General features: G+C 37.0%; 1 annotated feature.

The window, feature by feature from the left end:
- Positions 3,675-4,312: an enhancer, noted in NCBI's record as "NANOG-H3K27ac hESC enhancer chr3:117345279-117345916 (GRCh37/hg19 assembly coordinates)". NCBI's record gives its function as "activates a minimal SCP1, AML or CMV promoter by ChIP-STARR-seq in primed H9 embryonic stem cells {active_cell/tissue: H9 hESC(primed)}" and the evidence as "EXISTENCE:reporter gene assay evidence [ECO:0000049][PMID:30033119]".

Raw genomic sequence — 19,656 nt, forward strand, 5'->3', positions numbered from 1 at the left:
AATGGGACCTTAGGCGATGACGGAACAGAGGCATCTTCCTCTGGAAGAGGAGGGAAGGAAGCCTGGGGCCCCATCCATTTCCTTTGCTCTGATTCCCTTTCCCCTGGAAAATACCAGTTTACGAAGCAAAACTTGTTGCAGAAGCCATTTATTTTCTATTCTTTCTGCTTTATCCATTTTGACAGAATTATATTCCTGAAAGTAGTTGAGGTCGGTCATCTTTCTGATTTTCAGTGATATCGCCATACTTTTAACCCATGATCTGCATCATATTATATATAATGTGTTTAAACCTATTACCTTATTGGACCAGGTAAACCATTAGCTTGGCTTAACCTAAAATTACAAGAGGAGCTTTTTTCCCCTAAATCAGACTCTCCTAGGAAGCCTATCCATTGTTTATTTTACTTCATACTAAAGTTTTCGTCATGATTCCTATAATTCTGATAACGAAAAAAGGAAAGAATACATCCAGACCATTTTTTGTGCTTGTCTGCAAGACACAGTGACATTTTAAAAGAACGTTCTAGATTTAAAAAGGTTAATTTCAAGCTTAAACAATAACTTTTTATGGCTTTTCTTGTGAAATCAACATTTCCCACAGATGACTGAGTCCCTGCAGTCTAGAAGTATAATTCCTAAACCGTAATATGTGTAAGAGAGATGACTGGTGCAATATCACAGACTTACATATTATTAAATTATATAGTGTGCACCATTTCTCTTTTCGATTCTCTTCCAATCCTATGATCAAGTCAAGAAAAAAGTCTCTCTTGGTACCTCTGCATTGAATACTACTTCTACCTGTCAATTCCCATTTTAACAAGCAAAGCAGCCCTTAAACTCAGAGTCTTCTGAGGGAAATTGTGTCTAGTTAAAAATAAGTAATATTTTGTTTCCATTGCATCAATTATTTTTAACATTTTTTCATTTATTTATGGCACCTTAGACTGGTTTTTCTATTCATGGTAGCAATAAAATGTTTCTTAGGAATACATTTAAGTAAAAAAGTAGTCTTTAAAGAAAAATATTAACATTATAATAAAGCATGTGGATATGGAACAAATCATGAATAGCCCGGATTTGGAGCACTCTTTTTATTTGAGGGGTGAGAAAGAAAAAAGTGGTGTTGTTCCTTTGCTGTCAGCCACCTATGTACATAGCAGGTTTGATTTCTCCATCAAAAACTGTATTCATGACAATTTCGGGACAATGTTTCATAGAAACTGCAAGTGGGAAGATGAGGGAGGAACTGTCTAACTTTTTTATAGAATGATTATTTGGGGCTGAAAAAAGTCCCAGGGAACACACAGGTGGCTGAGCGGCAGGAAACGATGAAGCGCAAATGCATCCACAGCAGAAGGGTGTGCTTAAGGATCAGCAGGGAAAATTTGAGAAAATAGTTCCCATCCATTCTAGCTTGCTTGGCTTCAGTATGGTAAGTTGCTCAGAGTTTGTTACAAGTTTTCCCAAAGGTGAATTTTTAAGTATCTTCTTGCAATCTTGAGGAAGGAAGTAGAAACACAAGATTTGCTCACTATGTTTCAAATCAGTGTCACTGTCATTTTTTGACAAATGGGACCAAATTTATTCTAAGCAGCAAATATTCTGGAGGTCTCTATCATTAATTACCCTGTTATGATCTCAAAATATTAGCTCTCACATGCTAATATGTTTTAGATAAAACCCTTTGCCAGTGCTTAATGAATAAACATTTATTGCACCCCTATTATTCATGAGGCAGTTTATGTTTGTTGTGGCAAGGATGCGATGTGGTATCTCGACACTCAAAGTGTGATTTGTGGACAAGCAGCCCCAGTATCACCTGGAAACTTGTTAGAAGTGTAGTATCTCAGGCTCCACCCCAGACCTACTGAATGAGAATCTGAGATGATTCATATGTACATAAATGTTTGGTAAAACCTGTTATGAAATATAGACTCTCCTCAAATAACTACATAGTCCAGCTTTGAAATAATACTTATACTAATATAACGAAGCAACAAGTGATAGTAATTAGTATAAGTGGTATAATCCAAATTTAGACAAGATAATGATATTCAAAAATCGTTGAAGAAATAAGAAAGGAACCATGTCTAAAAATCTATCCAGAATTTGAGGATAGAAGCAAGCCCCCACCTTGGAATGTGGATGAATTTTAGAAAAAGGGAAGATAGAACTATACATACCTCTTAAATATGCACAGAGAAAACCTGCTTGATTACAGTGAGGAATACATGCTGGGGACTTGTGGTAAATCAAACTCAGTGAAAAGTGCAGGTCAGTTTTGGTAAACAGAGAAGTTCACTTTTTAATAGCACAGGAAATATATGCCATCTTTGAAGACATGCAGACAAGGGAGTCACAAAAGTAGAATAAATGTCAGTGTTTGCAAGATTGAGTTGGTTAAACTGTATGTGTGGAATGATTCCTCTAGCCCTGCAGTGGATAAGATGAATTACAGGGGGGAAAGCCAGGATTCTAGAGGCTATAAATACCCTTGGTGTGGGATCAGATGCCTTGAATAATGTCTATTTAGCAGAAGATAGTCAAAGGCCCTAAAAACAATAATTACATGTAAGAGACTAATATAGTCAAACTACTGTATCACAATGACTGTGCTGATTTGAATTTGCCTCAATTAGGGAGCTCTTTCATTGAAATAAAGTTTCTAAAAATGTTACTTAATGGCATTACTACACTTCTACTCAATTCATTCAGCTGAAACCCATGTGCTTGTTATGTATCCTTTTATTTCTATGTTCTGTTGTAGAATAATAACAACAAAAATGAGTATAAACCACTGCATTTTAAGTCAGGAAGTAACTTTTCTTCAAATGAGGCAGCAGGTTGTGTCTGCAAAACCTTTAGCTGTAGAGCTACGCTTGTAATTGAAACCTCGGCTATAGCACTTTCTGGTAGGGCACTGGTGCTACACAACACTGATCAGTGGCTTAACTTCCCTGATCCTCACTTTCTTTATCTGTAAATTAAAGTGAATATAACTCATTTCACAGGGCTGTTGGCGCAAGACCTGACACATAGTTGAATCTTTAATATCTGTGCTGTTATTAACATCTCGATCATCATCATACTTATAATCGTCATCACCATGATAACTGACTCGATTAAGGATTCAAACCTAAGACATACATGTTCTCAAGTTTGAAAGTATGGCTCTGATTTTACACCAGACCAAATTTTGATATAGTGGTCCCGTAGTTAAGCCAGAGGACTTTCCAACAAAGAAGAAAAACAAGCCAGTGTTTTGTTTGCTTTGTTTTGAGATGGAGTCTTGCTCTGTCGCCCAGGCTGGAGTGCAGTCGCGCTATCTTGACTCACCGCAACCTCCGACTCCGGGGATCAAGTGATTCTCCTGACTCAGCCTACCGGGTAGCTGGGACTACAGGCGCATGCCACCACGCCCGGCTAATTTTTTTTGTATTTTTAGTAGAGATGGAGTTTCACCGTGTTAGCCAGGATGGTCTAGATCTCCTGAACTCGTGATCTGCCCGACTCGGCCTCCCAAACTGCTGGGATTACGGGCGTGAGCCACCACGCCCGGCCAAGCCCGTGTTTTATTGAAGCTGCACAGTGGTTCTCTATAAATATAAAACTGCACTTAGTGACCAGCAATGTGTTGATATGGGAATTCAACGTGAGAAAGGCTAGGGAACCTGAAATCCCCTTCCCTGACTTTTTATTCCTAAGTTAGGTCTGATTCTGTGAGTTCCAGTTCGCCTTTACCCAGCCAGTTTTCTGGCTGATCTCAGCCTTCCTCTTCTGCTACCTCCTCTCTAATCCTAAGTGTGGCTAAAGCTACAAGCAAAGCCCTCCACATCACTTCACTTTCCTCCCCTAATACTAGATCAAACTGCCCACCAAAATATTATTTCTTCTGAAGAAAGGAGAAATTCAAGAACGAAAGCACCTGAGTCACAACTGCATAAACTTTTCTTAAGCCCCAGGAAGTCTAGCACTTTCTAGTTGTTAACAACTCTCCAGGGGTTATTGATAGAGCTTCCCTGGAGGAACTAAAAGAGGCTTTGACTAACAGTGATGATTGCCTTGGATCAAGTTCGTTTCTAATCTTTTCCCAGCACTCCTGGTAGTTAAAAGCATGCAGGTATGTCTTCATTTGAAAAATAAATAGTATGTTCCTAATTCATTTATAATTGAACTAGTTTTTATTTGAGAGTCATCAGGTGTGGTTCCTACAGTTAGTAGGAAAGACTTGAGTCTACTTTACCGACATATTCAGGATTTAATCCACAGCATAGATTCTTGTAGTGACAAGAACTGTTCCAGAGCCTAGAGGAATCTCTTCACTGCTCATGAGTTAACATTCACACACTATAGAGAACCAAAGAGCCTAAGATAACTGCTTGAACATGTCCAAATTTCTCATTTTCCAGTGGGGAAAGAGACCCCTGAAACCATTTAACCAAATTAAGTCAGGGCCAAAACCATCTTTGTCTACATCAGTAATTCTCAAAGGTTGTATCAGAAACATGGGAAGAGCTTGTTAAAATAGATTGCTGTGCTCTACCCTAGAATTTCTGATTCAGTAGATAAGGGGTGTGGTCTGAGAATTTGCAAGTTCTCAGTTGATGCTGATGTTTTTGGCCTAGGAATCATACATTGAAAATCACTGCTGTATATTACATTGCCTCTCAACCATGCAGAAACAGAATGTTCACTAATTTTTAATATTCATATTAAGTATTGTACTTGCTATTTGTTAGGGGAAAAACAATTTTGAAAAACTGTCCAGTGTAGTGACTCTGATGAAATTTCAAAAAAAAAAAAAAACAAAGAAAACTGGATTATATATAAAGTTTTATTATCATCATCTCTCCTTTTCCCAGCCCACTCACTTGTCATTATTTTAAGAAAATTATTTCTTCTACGTACTTACTGGCATGTTTTTAGCTCCATTTTGGGTTGTAAGGAATATATTCAATGATAAATGAAACTAAACTAAAAGTCATTGTTGCTCTCTTTAAAAGAAGATGGTTTTTATTAAAAAGGAACAGTTTTATTGAAAATATTAGTGTGAACTTTTCCACAGTATTTTGCATGAAAAGGAAATGGTGTTTAAAACAAGTATTTTTTGGAAAATTAAAAGGCTTTGATGGGGGATGAGGAAAAAAGAAAAGGAAAGGAAGACAGCTTGTGTTTTGAGCACCTACTGTGTGTTTGGCACCAGAGAGGCGCCTCCATATAATTTCAAATGAATATTCAATCAATCTGCATGTTCCTGGTGCAGCTTCTTGCATTTTTCTTTTTGTGCTAAAGGACAGTTTATACCCTCTACCATGCCCCCTCCCCATATGCATTCGTAGTTACACCCTTATCAATGACACTGATACAATATGTATAATCTGTATACTATGTCAATTACTTTTTATAGTAAGCCTTTGTTCATGTGATAGATATAAGATTTTTTAGAAGCTGGAAGCCATCATTCTCAGCAAACTAACACAGGATCAGAAAACCAAACACCGCGTGTTCTCACTCATAAGTGGGAGTTGAACCATGAGAACACATGGACACGAGGAGGGGAACATCACATACCGGGGCCTGTCAGGGGGGTTGGGGGCAAAAGGAGGGAGAGCATTAGGACAAATACCTAATACATGTGGGGCTCAAAACCTAGCTGGCAGGTTGATAGGTGCAGCAAATGACCGTGGTACATGTATACCTATGTAACAAACTTGCGCGTTCTGCACATGTATCCCAGAACTTTAAAAAAAAAGATTGACAATCCTAAAAAAAAAAAGATGTTTACAGTTAAGTGTTCAAAAATAGGCAATTCACTCTAGGTCACATTGCTATTGAATGCTATTGAATGGTAAAGGTGGAACTGTAACACAAATTTGCTTGATTCTAAATTTACTGAGGGAACTAAAAAAGATTTTGTTTTTCCTTTTATGCTGGACACTACACATGAGACTTTACTTACAAAAAATTAATACATAAATACAGAACATAGATCAAAGAAAAGGTCTGGGACATGCAGCTCTGAAGTGTATTTCTTCCTTCTTCTCTCTCTCTCACCACAGTCCTTCACTCTTTCTGTATGGCCCTAAGATTTGACTTGCTAGGACAGAGGCAGGAGAGGGGCAAAATAAAAGTTCAGGAGGGGAGGGGTGTGTCCTTGCTTGCTGCCCTGCAAATCCCCTAAGAGTGGTTTCTGGGCACTGCCACAGCCTCTAGAGAGCTGGTTGTAGTCCCAGATGCATTTCTCTGAATATCATGAGTTTCCTTTTCATTCTTTGAGTGGGTCAGCACAAAGAAAAGCAAACAAACCTAAATTACTCTTATTAAATGGCAGGCTGCCAAAAATCTGAGAAAGCACACAGCAACACAATATCTGAAGTCTAAAGGGAGAATTCCAAGCCAAGATTAGCATCTCACCCGGCTATCCAGCCAATCAGCCTCAGGGTTTCCACTCTCAGACACGTGACCATTTTACTGGGACATTCAGAAGTCATCTTGCAGATGTTCCAGGTGCAGATTGAAAGCAGTTGCTTGTATTTCTATTTTGGTGCTTAAGGGCAGTTTATACAGTTTGTACTATTCCCTCTTCCCCACTGCCATCCCCATATGTAGACATAGAGACCTGAACCTGTATAACATGCAATATTAATAAAAGAGTATCCTTCCCTGAGGAACTTGGTGCATTTGTTTTCTCCTTGTTTTTGCAAGGAAAACTAATGCAGGGGAGAAAAAAATTCAATATCAGAAATAGCACGTAGGCACCCACGAGAAGAAACCTGCTCAGGTGTTTGACATAAGAGCTCTTTCGAGAAGCAGTGTCTGATCGTGGAGTGGCATTTCCTCTTGATTCTTATGGAGTCTGGTATAACTTTGCTGTTGGCTACTGAATTGAGTTCTAAATTGAATTAATTTACTTTTGACACTGCCAGCACGGCACAGCGTGAGATGAAGCAGATGCTGCGTTAAGTGTAACATTATGAGTTCCTGGGTCTAATATCTTCTAAATAAGGAATGTTGCTGTGGATATAAAGGAAATTTTATTTGCGTTTGCTCAGAACTTATGCAGGCCAAAACTAGGTTCAGAATTTATTAAGTTAAATGATGGACTGAAGAGAAACCTAGTTAGGGTTATGCGAATATTACCCGGAACTTTTACATCTGTAAGTTCAAAGTAGTATAGATCTGAAAAGATGTGGACTAGAGGAGGAAGGGCCCAGTGATTCCATCATGCTTATAACTGGCATAAGTGACCATAAACCACAAGGAGTAGGATAACAGCTGAGAGCCAATCAGCTTGGCACTGAAGACTGACAGATTGGCCAGATGGCAAACCTCATTCAAGTGGATGTCATATTTTGATTGGGATTATCTCTCAATACCCTCAATAACTGTTTAAATTCTATAACAGAGACAAATCATTGCAGTATACCTACATTTGCCTTTCCCCTTCCAGAAATTATATAATAAATCTCTCAGGCAGAAGCATTTTATTTATTGTCAGTAGAGAGTTTATAATCTATGGTCAAAGTAGCATAGTAATGCTTAAAAACTATCTTCCAGATGAGAATTCTAGCACATTAGCTTATGAAATCTTTTTATTTGTTATCTACAATTGTCATTCTATAAATTGTTATCACCTTTCTCCTTAGATTGCAATTATAGGTCATGGTTTTGTCTTTTATTTTTCTCATGGTCTTTTAGAAACTAAATTTTCACTACATTTTACTGTGTCAATTGAATTAAGTCTATAAATTCAGCAAACAAGATATGAGTGAATAGCTACCATATGCTAGGGGATGGGAATGTAAAGAAAAAGAAACACATTTATTGGTCATTATTCAACTTGAACTCTTAGTTTCAAGACCAAAATTAGTCATCCTATCCTTAGTCCAACTCTAACTATTATGTTTCATTTGCTGTTATTTTTGAAGCAATGCTGTCTCTAAAGTTAGACTAGTCTCCTCACTCCCCTCAAAGAACACTGTTAATTATTTAATTCTCCTCTCCTGCTCTGCCTTGAACACCTGCTCCTACCTATGTGTTTCAGTCAGGGTGGACTAGGTTATCTTATAGTAATGAATGACTCCCAAATATCAATGTCTTTACCACAACAAAGGTTTATTTCTTCTCTTGCTACAAGCCTACTATGGGTTGGCTCTGGTTCTGTTTCACAGTGAATCCTTTATCTGAACACTGCCAGTTGTGTGGAAGAAGGAAAATAACCATAACTAAGCAAACACTGATCCTCTAGGTTCTTTCCTGGAAATGGCACACCTTCCATTGGCCCGGAGCCAAACATGTGGCCAAGCCTCAAGCCAATAGGCTAGTGAAATATAATCTTCTCCAGGGAAGGGTAGTGAATATTTGATGTCCACAATACAGTCTATTCCTCTAAACCAGTCTTACTCATCTGGCAGCTCTCAGCCCAAGGTCCCCTATTACATTTTCTCATTGCAGTTCTTACTAACTTTTCTAATGTTCTTCATCAAGGTTTATCTATATTACACATACAAGCATTTATATGTAATATAGTATCTTGCAATATTTTAAAATACTTCATTTTTTTCTGTGCATTTGTCTTTTCTACTCAGCTGGAAGTTATTTGAAACCAGAAACCATGTTTGAAATTTTTTTCTGGCACATACACGGTTTACAGAACTCACAGACAGTTGTATATTTCAGGGACTTTAGTAGCCTTAAGTATTCTCTGTTGATTGGCCCCCAAAATAAATCATCCTATGCATGTGCTGGTTTTCAATCAAAGCAAGTAAAAACAAGGCCCTGCCCTCTGCAAGGACATTAAAACTGGGTACTTGTAATATAACTTCCTTTTAGAACACACATGAAAACCATGTTAGATATAGTATTACCACAAAACATACAAAAATGTATTTGATATTATATAGAAAAGTAAAGGTTGTCATCATTTTTAGAAACAGAATGTTTAGGTCACTTTTCGAGACTACATTAAGATAAGCTAGGAAAAATACAAAGTAATCCAAACGATCTAGCTAAAGATTAGGCTGAAGATACCTCATTAAAATGACTAAAGAAATAACAGATTTAGCCTACATCTAATGTTAGAGAAAAATTCTCCATGCACATGTGTCTTACATTAGATCCAATGTTGTATTTGTCAAAATATTCTATTTTCTGCGATGTTCCTGCTTATAATTATAGAGGAACCAGATGCATGACCTTGTATAACATTTACTTTGTAACAAGTGCTTGGAGGATAAATAAAATAATTTGTTTGGCAGTTGTGGTATTGAAGGGGGAATACAGTAGAATCTAATATAGACGTGTTAACCATGTATGATTCAGAGAGGATGTACAATTCGGAAATGCAAACATCAGCAGGCAGATATGTAACAACATCAGGATTATAAGAAGCCACTTAATAACAACTAACCAAGTACATCACATGTATTTAGCTCCTTGAAATCATTTCATTAGTCTGAAAATTAAGCATATGCTGCTTCTGAGGGGAGGAACAAGGAAGACTGGTTTGCTCAGGAGATTGGTAAATGCATGCAAAGCTATTTATCTTGAGATTATAGGTCTGGCTTCAACCAAGAAGCTAAAGACAGTTATTGCTACTTTATGGCCCATATGAAATGAACCGTCATTATCAGTTTAGATGCTCATTTCAGCAGGCTGTCACCACAGTATGGGTTTGGATAACCCTAATGGATATGTGGACAAACGTCTGTTTGGAGAGATAGCATATTGAAAAGAGCCCTTGGCTGAGAATCAGGGGGATTGGAGTCTAGTTCCAATTCTGCCTCTAATAATAAGTAACATGAGAATCTCCTTTCTGGGAAGGGAGCAGGGAGATAGAGAAGGGTCAGATGACCTCCAAAATCTCATCTGGACCTGAAGCTAGATAATATCCTGTGAAGGAAAGCTCCTTTTGGCTCTTCACAATAGAAACTTTCTCCTTATCTTCCCCAAAGTTATTACCCAAATAATGACTGGCCTTGATTTTGGATTTCAGTCTAGATCTATTTTCCCCTCTGATAAAGGGATAGGATGCCATCTTCCTCTCCCTTTCTTCTTCAGATGTGCAACATCTAAATTATCCCTCAATCTAGAACAGATTCTTAGCCCTAGTTATATGGCTTGTTTGCCTCTTTAAACTCTTTTGTCTTCATGATATGCCACCACCTATCACAGAGTGTCAGAAAATTGCCTAAAGAAAATTAGGTTCACATACATTTTTAAGCAAATATGCTATATATTTTAATGTGATACTTTTACTTTTTTAAGGCAAATAGGCTGAGATGAGTTCTGGGTCCCTGTAATGCTGAGATGTCCACAGCTCTTTCAGACTCAAAACTATTGATAAAGAACAGCTGCCAGGCCAGAATTGTGCATCTGTAGCCTGATTACCTACAACCCACCTGTAGTGTTCCGGTTCCTTGGTTATTTCTTGCTGCTTTCAGTGAAAGCCTAAAGCTGCATGTTTCTTTGTGAGAAAGGACGACATGAATTGCAGATGATGGAAAAGAAGATGATGTTTACATTTGCCTGGTTATGTTTTTCTTTTATTTTCTCATTTGAAACTTGGAGTTTGGGGGCCTAAGAAAAGTGAAACCGACACTAAAGGCTTAGATCAAAACTGGCATCATGCCACCAAGTTAGAAGTGTTAAGGAAACAACATTCACAGGTGACAGATGGAGGGAATGAGAACTAACACTCAGAGGCAGCCATGGCGATGGTGCTGTGCTCTCTCCACCTACATTAGGTCTTTTAGTCTTCATGGCCTGGCAGATGAAGAAACTGAGGTCCGCAAAGTTTAGGTCACTTGTTCAAGTTACACAGCAGGGATGGGGCCAGATTTGTCCTTCAGCATCCTACCTCTGGAGCTGATTCTATTAACCATTAAGCGCTACTGCCTTGTAAACCTGTGTGCAGGGGCTGGTGGGAGGATCAGGCTTCATTTCTATATCTATCTGGCTTCAAAACTCACTAGTTCAAGCTTCCTTCCAACAATGAAGAAATGACAGTGATTGGGTGTGGAATAACAATAAATGCCAGCCAAATTCCTCCTCCTGGCATGCTCTACCCTATACCCAGAACTGTTGAGCTGCCTCTGATGTTTCTTCCTGTATTCTGAAGGGGAAAACAGTCCTGCTTGGGAAAACTCACTGAACAGGCAAAATCATTTTCTAAAGATTTAGTGGAGGTGGATGTTTGTTTGTTGGAGATTTAGTGGAGGTGGATGTTTGTTTGTTGGTTTATTTGTTTGTTGAGACAGGGTCTCTCTCTGTCATGCAGGCTGGAGTGCAGTGGTGCAAGTATAGCTCACTGCAGGCTCAATCTCCAGAGGTTAAGCGATCCTCCCACCTCAGCCACTGGAGTAGCTGGGACTAGAGGCACTTGCCACCATGCTTGGATTTCTTTTTTTTCTTTTTTTTTTTTTTTTTAAGTAGAGACAAAATCATTCTATGTTGCCCAGGCTGGTCTTAAAGTCCTGAGCTCAAGCAATCATTCTGCCTCAGCCTCCCGAAGTGCTGGGATTAGAGGCATAAGTTGCCACACCTAGCGGGTAGATAGATGTTTGGAAGGTTGGGTCTCATCCTAGCTTTGCCAGTTACCAGGTGTTTGGCCTTGTCTATGCCACTCAGTGTAGATGAGTTTGATTCCACAGTTGTAAAATGAAAACACCAAGCATAATTTATTGTTTTTCAAATTTTTCTCCAAAGCAATAGAATCCATTGTTTCAATGATATTTTAAGCCCAACCTCAACATATGAAACAAATGCAGTGATTTTGTCTGGGTGACACAGGATTCACTCCCACCCCTCATTCCACCCCAGGTCAAAAAAGAAGCTGGAAACTTCTTACTGCACAGGAACAAACACCTAGTTTAGTTCCATTAGGTGGTCTCACAGCCCCTTCACAACCTTAATAGCCAATGACAGTTCTAAAATTGCAAATTGCTTTGAACAATATCAGGTAATCTCCTTTTTTTTTTTTTTTCAGACAGGATCTCACTCAGTCACCCATGCTGGAGTGCAGTGGTGGGATCTTGGCTCACTGCACCTCCACTTCCCTGGCTCAAGTGATCTTCCCACTTCAGCCTCCCAAGTAGCTGGGACCACAGGCATATGCCACCATGCCCAGCTAATTTTTGCATTTTTTGTAGAGATGGGGTCTTGCTGTGTTGCCCAGGCTAGTCTCCAAATCTGGATCTTAAGTGATCCACCGTCTTGGCCTCCCAAAGTGCTGGGATTATAGGCATGAGCCATCCCACCTGGCCTCATCTATGATTTTTAATACAACATTTACTGTCTTCTTCAAGCAGTTCTAGTCATAAACGTTACAATTAGTCTCCTTCAAATTACAGATGTGACTTATTTAGTTTTAAACACACCAAGACATGCAGCACTTTAGATAGATTTACTCTTCAGTTCAGAGGAAAGAAGAACTGGACTTTGATCCATTACCACTGTGCCAGGAATTGATTTTAGGGAAGGATATGTGATTATGGGATAGAATGTGAATGGGGGCCGTTTGGGCCGACCTAGACTCTGATTCTCCATTTGTGTGTGGTGCGGCATGAGTGACGCGGGGCGTGAGGAGTGCTTCATAAGATGTAAAAAGAACTGATTGATTTATCGATCTAAGGAAGACAGTCTCCTTGACGGAGACATGCAGTCAAACAGTGGCAGGATGCACTGCTAAAAGCCCTCCAGATTGATTACCCTACCTGGCACCTGATCCCTCATCACTGTGGCAGGTGAAGAGTTCTGGAAATGTACTCACAGCTGCATTAATAAGATAGGAGGCGAACAAACAAGGAAACGTGGGTCAGGCAAGGTTCTGACAGAGGAAAGGGTTTTCCACTGCTCTGAATTCCCTCAAAATGGAAAGTCTCTCAAACCGTGTGAAACACACAGGCTGAAAATGAGACAAAATAGCTAATCGAGCTGAAAATGCGTGTGGCAGCAATGACACCTCTGGGTTCTGAAGTTCTGTGATTTGGTTTTCCCATCTGTTACTGCTTCTAAAATTTGACAATTCCTGTTTGAATACTTATGTAATTAGAAAATGCTTTGGAAATAGTGTACTAAACGACACACCTGGTATAATTTGCAAAACACTTCTTTTAACCATGCTAGAGAATCTCCACACACAAACATCGTGCATCCTACCATGTGGATCAATAAGAAAACTTAAAAGCCACACATATATGCATCACAGAAGTGATCTTTATACACACACTCTTAGCAAGTCATTGCCAAAGATCAAACGCCAGGTGATAATCAGGGAAGGCATCTAGCTAAGACTGGACAAAAATAGTACGGGTAAATAAGTCAATTATAATGCTGTTGAAAGAAGATATTGATGTTATCACTTTTTCAGATGACTGGTGTTGTCTGTGACAGGTAGAGTCACACCCTTTTAAAAGGAGACTGTTCAAAGCCTTGACGTGTTAAAAGAGAAATTAGTCTGCACCAAATCCTGAAAGAAAATGAGAGTTTTGGCATAATGTGTATTTGTTTAAAAGGATGAAAGTTGTAGCTACAGATGTGAAGCATTAAAAATGTTATTTCAGAATTTCTAGCACTAAAATTTAAACTGTAGAATTTAGGAAATCAGAGCTAGAGAGACTAGAGAATTCTCTATCCCCTTATTTTACCTATGAAAGTTTTCTGATAGGTAAGTAAGCCCCAGATATGTTAAAGAATTTGCACAAGTCCCACCATATGTCAGTGAAGAAGGAGATGGGATTTGAACCCAGTCTCCTGATTTCTCCGCTATATTATGAATGTATATTCAACCTCTTCCCTTTTCTTAGATATTCCTATCACTTTTTAAATATGCTTGTCTTCCTCATTAATTATTATAACAATAACAACAGCAGCAGTAATAACAATACTAATAGACAAAAATCCACTCCGTGGCCACAATATCACTTTCTTCTTTTGCGTTTTTTTTTTTTTTTTTTTTTTTTTTTTTTTTTTTGAGAAGGGCTCTCGCTCTGTCGCCCAGGCTGGAGTCCAGTGGCGCGATCTCTGCTCACTGCAATCTCCGCCTCCCAGATTCACGCCATTCTCCTGCCTCAGCCTCCCGAGTAGCTGGGACTACAGGCGCCCGCCATCACGCCCGGCTAATTTTTTTGTATTTTTAGTAGAGACAGGGTTTCACCGTCTTAGCCAGGATGGTCTCGATCTTCTGACCTCGTGATCCGCCCGCCTCAGCCTCCCAAAGTGCTGGGATTACAGGCATGAGCCACTACGCCCGGCCTCTTTTGCTTTTAAAGTCTACTTACATAATTAACTAGCTAGTCAGAACCCAATTGAAATAGGCCTCTGTTCTCACCTGGGAGATGATAACGTCACAGATGGACACCCACCATCATCCTAGAAAATGTACCCTAACTTTCAGTGTGGTACCACAGACTGAAGGGATGACCTTGGGAAGAGAAAGGACCATTAAAGCAAAACTAATTTCCTAGCTTCACGGAAATAAAATCTGGCAAAAAGAAGCAAACAGTTTATCAACCATAATTTTAGAGAGGGATAGGGACACCGAGTTAGATCTTTGAAGATAGGGCTTCATCGTTTCTCAGCCTTTTGGCTAAGATCAAGTGAAGATAATGCTTCAGATGGAGCAACGGTCCCATCAGGCAGTTACATAACCTACTGAATACTCCTTCTGCACAAGGGGTTTTTAACATGGGATCTGTGGACTGGATAGGAAAAAAATTACATCAGTGTTCTCATTAAGCACTAAATAAATTCATTCTTTCTCTCAATTATGAATGTATTCAACAAACTGTGATATAGTGTTAAAATTAACCATGATCTTATCCTTAGTAGAATCACAGATATTTTTGTATTGCACTAATTTGGATGTTGCAGATTTTCAAAATGTAATTTACACTCTTCTCTATTTTGAAGTTATAGCATAATCGAACCTACTTCTACATCTTGTTATTTAGTATACCTTCCCTATCCATGGTACGTGTTCCCTAGTTGCAGTTACCCGTGGTTAACTGCAGTCCAAAAATAGGTGAGTACAGTACAATAATATATTTGAGAGAGGGAGAGAGAGAGAGAGAGAAAGAGAGAGAGAGAGAGAGAGAAAGAGAGAGAGAGAGAGACAGAGAGCGAGCACACACAACTGCGTTCACACAACTTTTATTTCAGTATGTTGCTATAATTCTTCTACCTTGTTATTAGTTGTTAATCTCTTACTGTGCTTAAGTTATAAATTAAGCTTCATCATGGGTTTTTATGTATAGGAAAAACAGTATACATAGAGTTCAGTACTATCCATGGTTTCAGGCATCCACTGGGGTTCTTGGAATGTACGGCCTGTAAATAAGGGGGTTATATAATATTAGTATACTTTCCTAATACTAAGTATAATTATATACTTTCTAAATATAGTATGCCCCATGGATATCTGGTTTGCTTCCAGTTTTTGATTATTATGAATAAAGCTGCTATGAACATTTTTTACAGGTTTTTGTGTGAACTTTTCATTTCTGTGGGAAAAAAATGTCTTGGAGTGCAATCACTTGGTCATATGGTGATGTCATGTTTTGTTTTGTTTTTGTTGTAAACTACCAAATTGTTCTCCAAACTTTAGGACGTTTTTTATTCCCTCCATCATTGTGTGAGCAACCAGTTCCTCCGCATCCTCATCACCAATTTGGTGTTCTCATATTTTAAAAAGTAGTAATTCTCATGGCTATAAACTGATATTTCATTGTGATTTTAACCTGTATTTCCCTAAATATATTAAACATCTTTTCATGTGATTATTTTCCACCTGTATTGTATATCTTCTTCAGTGAAATGTTTGTTCCTGCCTTTTGACCATTCTCTAATAGGATTTTTTTTTTCTTTTACTTTTGAAATTTGGGAATTCCTTATGTGTTCTAGATAGTAGTCGTTTGTAGAATATGGGGATTTTTTTTTCTCCAAGTCTATAGCTTGTCCTTTCATCCTCTTGCTAGGGCCATTTGCAAAGATAACAAAATTAATTTAACTGAGGCGAAATTTGTCACTTTTTCCTCTTATGGATTGCGCTTTTGGTGTCAACTATAAAAATTATTTGCCTAGCCCTAGATTCCAAAGATTTTATATGTTTTGTTTCTTAAAAGGTTTATAGCTTTATATTTTATAATTAAGTTTGTGATTTTGAATTAATTTTCGCATAAGGTACAAGGTTTAGTTTGAGGTTTGTTTCATTTTGTTTTAATTTTTTGGATTATGAATGTCCAATTGCTCCATGATCCATTTATTGAAAAGTGTATTCTTCCTCAATTTGTAAAATTTTGTTAAATTCAGTTGAGCATATCTCTGGGCTATTTTTTTCTGTCTTACTGACCTATGTGTCTGTCCTTCTGCCAGTACCATACAGCTTTGATTACTATAGCTATCTAATGAGCCTAAAAACAGGTAGACTGACTCCTTCTATTTGTTTTTATTTTTCAAAATCGTTTTGGCTACTCTGTTTTTTTTTTTGTCTTCCTATGTAATGTTTAGAATAATATTGTCTATATCCACAGAAAAATCTTTCTGGGATTTCTATAGGAATTGCATTAAACCTGTCTACCAATTTGGGGAAAATCGACATATTCACTACGTGAAGTCTTCATATTCATGAACATTGTCTGTCTTTTTATTCAGATATTCTTAAGTTTCTTTCTTCAGAGTTTTGTGGTTTTGAGCATACAAATTCTGAACATGTTTGGTTTGATTTACAACTACATATTTAATTGTTTAGCAATTGTAAATGGTATTTTATTTTTGATTTTGGGGCCCAAGTACACATTACTAATACATAAAAATTTGATTTTTAAAATGCTGCATTGGAATGTATATTTTTTATAGACTTGAATATGTATTACATATTTTACAATTACAAAGTAGGATTTTTCTGGAGACAAAAAACTGTAGTCAAGAAAAAAGAAAGTTAAGCTTTGCTTGCATGCAATAATGTACAATAGGGGTGAGCTATGTTAAAAATTATCTCTGATGGATGCTATAATGGAATAACTTAAGGACTCAAAGCTGCTTTGCTTTCAAATCTAATTATCTGTTGCAAAGTGAACATGGCCTTTAAAACTAGTTATTTTCTATGCTTTTTTTGTTTTGTTTTAAAGAAATAGCTTTCTTATTTTAAAAACAATGTCAAAATTTGGGGAAGCCAAAAGCACAAAGTAGAAAATTTATATCACCCATAATCCTACTGCTTAAAAGTAACCACTATTAATTAACATGTAGATATTTAACCTCCTAGTCTTCGTTCTGTATTAACATAATGTTATTATAAAAATGAGATCATCCTGTGTTTATTGTTTGGTAACAACTTTACCAATAAAAAATAAAGGTAAGATTTTTACATCATTAAGTATTCTTCTATAACACGCAGACTATAAGCACTACAAAATATTTCATTTTGCCCTTAAGAAAAAATGCACTAAATTTGAAGACAGATGAAAACAATAAATTGGTTGTGTTTATTAATGTGCCTTATCATGTAACTTGTGACTTTTTCTTTCACTTATTAGTTTTAGAAGTTTTCTTACAGATTCCTTGCAATTTTCTACATACATAATCATACCATCTGCCAGTAGGGACAGTTTTATGTATTTTTTTTATTAATATGCCATTTATTTCCCTTTCTTGCTATTGTGCTGGCTAGAATTTCTAGTACTATATTGAGTAAGATTGGTAAGAGCAGACATCCTTGTCTTGCTCCCAACATTAGGGGAAAATCATTCAGTCTTTCAGCAGTAAGTGCAGTGTTAACTGTAGAGTTTTGCAGATGCTCTTTATCAAATTGAGGAAATTCACCCCTATTCCTCATTATCGAAGAATTGTTATGATGAATAAGTTTTGAATCTTGTCAAATGCTTTTTGTTACATCAATTAATATGATTATATGATTTTTTCTTGTTTAGCTTGTTATTACGGCAGATTACATTGACTGATTTTCAAATATGAAATCAGCCTTGTATTCCTAAACACTTAATCATGTTGTTTAAATCTTTTCATATATTGCAAAATTCTATTCCTAATATTTTTAAAGGCATTTTGCATCTATATTTGTAAGAGACATTTTCCTGTATTTTTCACTTTTGCACTGCTTTTGTTTGGCTTTGGTATATGGAAAACACTAACATAAAATAAATTGATATAACCTCTGTTCTCTCTGTTTTCTGGAAGAGATTTTGTAGAATTGATGTTGATTATCTATAAATATTTAGAAGTATGCTCTCATGAAATCATCTTGTCTTCAAGATTTATTTTGGGGAGTTTGATAATTGCAAATTCAAATTTAATAATTATAGTAGTATCACAATTTCTAATTCACATTGGGTGAGTTGTGGTAGTTTGTACTATTTGAGGAATTGGTTCATTTCATCCAAGCTGACAAATTTGTTAGTATACCCTTATCATCTTTTTGACTTCTGCAGCATCTGAAGTGATATCTTCTGTTTCATTTCCAACACTGTTAGTCTGTTCCTTCTGTTTTGGAGGGGCATGCAGTCATCAGTTTTGCTTGATGTTGGTCAAAGGACCAGTTTTTTGTTTCATTTTTCTCCTCATATTTATTTTTTCAGTATCATTGATTTCTGCTCTGATTTGTATTATTCCTTCTTCCTGCTGGCTTTAGTTTTATAATTTTTCTGGGTTTGCCAGGGAGGAGCTTAGATTATTGATTTAAAATTTTTCCCCTTTTCTAATGTAACCATTTAGGGTAATACATTTCCGTCTCAGCCCTACTGTAGATATGTCCCACAAGTTTTGGTATATTGGATTTTCATTTTAGTTCAGTTCAATGTACTTTTTCTAATTCCTCTTGAGACTTCCTCTTTGACCCATGGATTATTAAGAATGTGTTGTTTAGTTTCTAAGTGTTGGGATTTTTTTAATATTATCTTTCCATTATTGATCTCCAGTTTGATTCCACACTAGTCAGAGAAGACACTTTGTATAATTTTATTTTAATTTATAAGGTTTGTTTTGTGGCCTAGGATATGGTCTATCTTGATATGTATTTTATGGACACTTGAAAAGAATGTGTATTTTGATGTTATTAAGAGAAATGTTCTATAAATGTTGTTTAGATCCTGTCGGTTGATACTGGTTTAAGTTCCTCAATATTATTTGTGGTTTCCCACTACTTATATGGAATGTTGAAAGGGATATTTCAGTCTCCAACTCTAATTGTGGGTTGTCTATTTCTCCTTTCACATCCATCAAGTTGACTTCATCTATTTTGCAGTTCTTTTGTTAGGCGCATACACACACATTTAGACTTGCTATATCTTCTTGGTGAATTCACCTTTTTATCTTTATATAATGTTCCTCTCTATCTCTGTTAATTTTCTTTACTCTGAAGTCTACTTTATTTAATTCTAATACAGACATTTCTGCTTTCTTTTGATTAAAGTTTTTATATTTTATCTTTTTCCATCCTTTTACTTTTAGTTTGCTTATACCATTATAACTGAAGTGTATTTTTTTAGACGACCTACAGATAGTTCATGTTTTTAAATACATTCTGCCAATTTTTGTCTTTTAATTGATGTATTAAGCCATTTAATTTAATGTATTATTGAAATGTTGGGGATTAGGTATAGCGTTTTATTTTTTGTTTTCTGTTTGCTCTGTTCTTTC

The sequence above is a fragment of the Homo sapiens genome, chromosome 3 (genome assembly GCF_000001405.40).
Source record: "Homo sapiens chromosome 3, GRCh38.p14 Primary Assembly".
Classification (NCBI taxonomy): Eukaryota; Metazoa; Chordata; class Mammalia; order Primates; family Hominidae; genus Homo; species Homo sapiens.